The 6,000-nt window shown below is 35.7% G+C and overlaps 1 annotated feature.

Annotated features, from left to right (window-relative positions):
* Positions 5,288–5,582: a silencer, noted in NCBI's record as "tiled region #5201; HepG2 Repressive non-DNase unmatched - State 24:Quies". NCBI's record gives its function as "represses a minimal TATA promoter and a strong SV40 promoter by Sharpr-MPRA in HepG2 cells {active_cell/tissue: HepG2}" and the evidence as "EXISTENCE:reporter gene assay evidence [ECO:0000049][PMID:27701403]".

A 6,000-nucleotide genomic window follows, 5' to 3' on the forward strand; every position in this document is an offset into this window, starting at 1 on the left:
TACAGGTCCACTTTTTTGTTGTTTGTTTGTTTTTTTTGAGATGGAGTCCCACTCTGTCCCCAGGCTGGAGTGCAGTGGCATGATCTCGGCTCACTGCAACCTCTGCCTTCCAGGTTCAAGCAATTCTGCCTCAGCCTCCCAAGTAGCTGGGACTACAGGAGCGTGCCACCATGCCCAGCTAATTTTTTGTATTTTTAGTAGAGATGGGGTTTCACCATGTTGGCCCGGATGATCTCAATCTCTTGACCTCGTGATCTGCCCACCTAGGCCTCCCAAAGTGCTGGGATTACAGGCGTGAGCCACCGTGCCTGGCCGGGTCCACTTTTGAATAACATTATACCACTTCATGGGTTATGCAAGTGCCTTGTAATTTAAAAAAAATCTCAAATTTCTCCCTTCTGTCCCTTGTATCATTGCTGTAATTTATTTTACTTATACATGAACATACAAAAGCATATATACAGGCATACCTTGGTGATATTGTAGGTTCAGTTCCATGCCACTGCAACAACGTAAATGTCACATAAAGCAAGTCGTGAATTTTTTGGTTTCTGAGCGCATTTAAAAGTCATGTCTACACTATACTGTAGTATATTAAGTATGCAATAGCATTATATCTAAAATGATGTACAAATCTTAATTAAAATAGTTTATTGAGGCCAGGTGCGGTGGCTCACGCCTGTAATCCCAGCACTTTGGGAGGCCAAGGCGAGCGGATCACGAGGTCAGGAGATCGAGACCATTCTGGCTAACACGGTGAAACCCCATCTCTACTAAAAAATACAAAAAAAAAAAAATTAGCCGGGCATGGTGGCGGGTGCCTGTAGTCCCAGCTACTCAGGACGCTGAGGCAGAAGAACAGCGTGAACCTGGGAGGTGGAGCTTGCAGTGAGCTGAGATCACGCCACTGCCCTCCAGCCTGGGCGACAGAGCAAGACTCTGTCTAAAAAAAAAAAAAAAAAAAAAAAGTTTATTGCTTAAAAATGCTTGTAATTATCTGAGCCTTCAGTGAGTCATAATAATTTTGCTAGTGGAAGTTCCTGTCTCAGTGTTGATGGCTGCTGACTGATCAGGGTAATGGTTGTTGTAGGTTGGGGTGGGCTGTGGCAATTTTTAAAAATAAGGTGATAATGAAAATTGCTACATTAATTAATTTTTCCTTCATGAAAGATTTCTCTGTAGCATGCAATGCCATTTGAAAGCATTTTACCCATAGTAGAACCTCTTTCAAAATTGAAATCAATCCTCTCAAACCCTGCTGCTACTTTATCAAATATGTGATGTAATATTCTAAGTCCTCTGTTGTCATTTCAGTAATGTTTACAGCATCTTCACCAGCAGTTGATTCAATCTTAAGAAACCACTTTCTTTGCTCATCCTTAAGAAGCAACTCCTCATCCATTCAAGTTTGGTCATAAGAGTGCAGCAATTCAGTCACATCTTTAGGCTCCACTTCTAATTCTAGTTCTGTTGCTGTTTCCACCACATCTGCAATTACTTCCTCCACTAAAATCTTGAACCCCTCAAAGTCATCCATGAGGATTGGAATCAGCTTAGTCCAAGCTCCTGTTAATGTTGACATTTTGACCTCCTTATATGAATCATGTTCCTAGTAGCATCTAGAATGGTAAACTCCAGAAATTTTTTAATTTACCTTGTCCAGATCCATCAGAGGAATAACTGTCTATGGCAACTATAATCTTACAAAATGTGTTTCTTAAATGATAAGACTTGAAAGCTACTTGATCCCTGGGCTACTGAATGGATGTTATGTTAGCAGGCATGAAAACACTCTTACGGAGGCATGAAAACATTAATCTTTTTGCACATCTACATCCAAGCTTTTAGATGACCAGCTGAATTGTCAATGAGCAATAATATTTTGAAAAGAATCTTTTTTTCTGAGCGGTAGGTCTCAACAGTGGGCTTAAAATATTGGATAAGCCATGCTCCAAATAAATGTTCTCTCATATAGTCTTTGTCATTCCATTTATGTTACACAAACAGAGTATATTTCACACAATTCTTAAGACCCTTAAGAATTTTGGAACAGTAAATGGACATTGGCTTCAACTTAAAGTCACCATCTGCATTAACCCCTAATGAGAGAGTCATCCTGTCCTTTGAAGCATTGAAGCCAGATTGATTTCTCTTTAGCTATGAAAGTCCTAGATGGCATCTTTTTCCAGTAGAAGACTGTTTTGTCTGCATTGAAAATCTATTGTTTAGATTTTCACCAATGATTTTGTTTAGATCTTCTGGATAACTTGCCTCTTATACTTTATCATTTTTTCAGTTTGCTCTTTCTTGTTACGGAGATGGCTTCTTTCCTTAAACCTCATGAATCGATCAATAATAGCTTCCAACTTTCCTGCTGTAACTTCCTCTCCTCTTTCAGTCTTTATATAATTGAAGAGAGTTGGGGCATTGGTGTGGACTAGGCTTTCATGTAAGGGAATGTTGATGCTGATTTGACCTTCAATCCAGATCACTCAAACATTCTTCATATCAGCAATTAGGCTGTTTTGCTTTCTTATTATTCCTGGGATCACTGGAGTAGTGCTTTTAATTTTCTTCAAAAACTTTTCCTTTGTGTTCACTACTTGACTAGCTGGTGCAAGAGGCCTAGCTTTCAGCCTGTCTTTGCTTCTGACATGCCTTCCTTCCTAAGCTTAATCATTTCTAAGTTTTGACTTAAAGTGGGAGATGTGAAATGCCTCCTTTCACTTGAATACTTAGAGGTCATGTAAGGTAACAATTTGCCTAATTTCAATATTGTGTCTCAGAGAATAGAGAGGCTGAAGAAAAGGGAGAGAGACAAGACAAGGGAACGATCAGTTGGTGGAACAATTAGAGCACACACAACATTTATCAATAAATTTCACTCTCTTATATGGTGCAGTTTGTGGCACCCCAAAACAATTACAATGGTAACATAAATGTTCACCGATCACAGATCACAAGAACAGATAAAATAATAATGAAAAAGTTTGAAACATTGCAAGAATTGCCAAAATGTGACACAGAGACACAAAATAAGTATATACTCTTGGAAAAATGGTGCCAATAGACTTTGTCAATACATAGTTGCCACAAACATTCAGTTTGTAAAAAGCACAATATCTTTAAAGCACAATAAAGGGAAGCAATAAAAAGACGTATGCCTGTATACATGTACATAAGCGTACATAATTGTACATATTGTTGCTATTTTTTGCAAAAATTGTTATCTGTTATATCAACCAATAATAAGACAAATAAAGTAAAAGTTTTTATTTACCTTCACTTATTCATTCTCCAATGTTTTTCTTTTCTTTATGTGGGCCTGAAGTTCTGATCTATATTACTTTGGTTATTTCTGTAGAACTTCTTTTTAACATTTCTCACAAGGCAGGTCTACTGGCAATAGTTCTATCAATTTTTGTTTATCTAAGAAAGCATTTCTCTTTCACTTCTGATGGATAATTTTGCAGTGTACAGAATTCTAGGTTGGTGGTTTTTCTCTGTTAATGCCAAATATTTCACTCCACTCTTTTCTTGCTTTCATAATTTCTAAGAAGTAAGATGTAATTTTTATCTTTGCCTATCTGCAGCTAAGGTTGTTTTCTTTTATTTTTTAACCTCTGCCTTCTCTATTCTGTTCCATTGATGTGGAACAGAATATTTTTATATCAGTCTATTTTTATATCAATACCATGCTGTTTTGGTTACTATAGGCTTGCAGTATAATTTGAAACTAAGTAATGTGATACCTCTAGCTTTGTTGTTTTTGCATAGTATATTGGCTATTCAGGCTCCTTTTTTTGTTCCATATGAATTTCATGATTTTTTCCTAAGGCCACATATCCACAGCCAACTCATCTTTGAAAAAGTAAATAGAAATATGTAATGAGGAAGGACACCCTTTTCAATAAATAGTGCTGGGAAAATTGGATTGCCATGTGGAGAAGAATGAAACTGAACTCCTATCTCTCACCATATGCAAAAATCAATTCAATATAGATCAAAGACTTAAATATAAGACATGAAACTATAAAAATACTAGAAGAAAACCTAGGGGAAACTTTTTTGGACATTGGTCTAGACAAAGAATTCATAATTAAGACTTCAAAATCAAATGCAACAACAACAAAACACAGACAAATGAGACTGACTTAAACTAAAAAGTTTCTGCACAGCAAAAATAGAATGAACAGACAACCTGCAGACTGAGAGAAAATATTTGCCAATTATGCATTTGACAGGGGACTAGTATCCAGAATTTAAAAGAAACTCAAGCAACTTTACAAAAGAGATTCAAATACCTCCATTAAAAAGTGAGCAAAGGACAGAAGTAGACATTTTTCAAAAGAAGACATACAAATGGCTAATAAACATATGAAAAATTCTTTACATCGCTAATCATCAGAGAAGTACAAATTAAAACCACAATGAGATAGCATCTTATAACAATCAGAATGCCTATTACTAAAAAGTCAACATTAATAGATGTTGGCAAGGATATGGAGAAAAGGGGAGGCTTATATGCTGTTGGTGGGAATGTCAATTAGTACAACCTCTGTGGAAAACAATATGGAGACTTCTCAAAGAACTAAAAATGGAACTATCATTTGATCCAGTAATCTCACTACTGGGTATATAACAAAAGGAAAAGAAATCATTAAATCAAAAAGATACCTGTGCTCATATGTTTATCACAGCACTATTCAAAATAGCAAAGACATGAAATCAACCTAAGTGTCCATTATTGGATGATTGGATGAAGAAACTTACAGATCCATTGGTAGTTCTATTTTTAATTCTTTGAGAAATCTCCAAATTGTTTTCTATAGAGGTTGCACTGATTGACATTTCCACAAACAGTGTATAAGCATTCCCTTTTCTCAACATCCTCGTTAACATCTGTTATTTTTTAACATATATGTATGTGTGTGTATATACACACACACACACACACACACACACCACATTTATATATCACATTTTCTTTATCCAATCATCCACTTGATTTGGGGAAAATTCTCAGTCATTATTGTTTCAAATATTGCTTCTGTTCCTTTTTCTCTTTCTTCTTTTGGTATCAACATTAAATATGCATTACACTTTTTGTACATGTTCCATAGTTCTTGGATATTCTGTACTTCTGTTTCTATTCTTCTTTCTCTTTGCCTTTCAGTTTTGGAAGTTTCCGTTATCATATCATCAAGCATAAAGACTCTTTCCTCAGGTGTGTCCAGTCTACTAATGAGCCCATCAAAAGCATTTTTCAGTTCAATTACATTTTTTTTAATCTCTAGCACTTCTTTTTTTTTTTCTTAGAATTTCTATCTTCTGCTTTCATTCTGTTGTTGCATAGGCTATCTACTTTTTCCAGTAACTCCCTTAGCACATTAGTCATAGTGTAAAAAAAAATTTCTGGCCTGATAATTCCAACATTCCTGCCATATCTGACTCTGGCATGAATCTTATCAGTCTATCTTATGATTAATTCTCCATCTTTTGGTGAGCCTGTGCCCCTGGTCTGTAAACTTCACTGTTATTTCTCAGGTTTTTTTGTTTTCTATTGCTGCTTTGTTTGCCACTTAGGTGGAGCAGGATGGCTGGAGTGGGCTGGAGTTGTGTATTTCCCCTTTCCTATGTGGAAGGCTAGAAGAATGTTCATGATTTTTTTTTAAATTTGGCATAAAATTCTTCCTTCAAGGGGAATTTTTATAACTCTTAACATATGTCCTTTGAAAATCCTGATATTTTTCTCGGCAAAAATGTTTTTATTTTATTTATTCATTCTTGAATGAGTATAAATTACAGAATTCTAGTTTGACAGCTTTTCATTAGCAGCACTGTGAAGATGTTGTTCCATTTGTCCTGAACTCTATTTTGCTTTTGAAATATTTGCTGTCCCATAATATGAATTTTCCAAGTTTTTTCCTATAATTTAAGTTCTAATTAATCTGCACTGTGGCAGAAAAAAAAAATGCACTATATCAAGCCTTTGAAATG

The sequence above is a fragment of the Homo sapiens genome, chromosome 8 (assembly GCF_000001405.40).
Source record: "Homo sapiens chromosome 8, GRCh38.p14 Primary Assembly".
Lineage (NCBI taxonomy): Eukaryota > Metazoa > Chordata > Mammalia > Primates > Hominidae > Homo > Homo sapiens.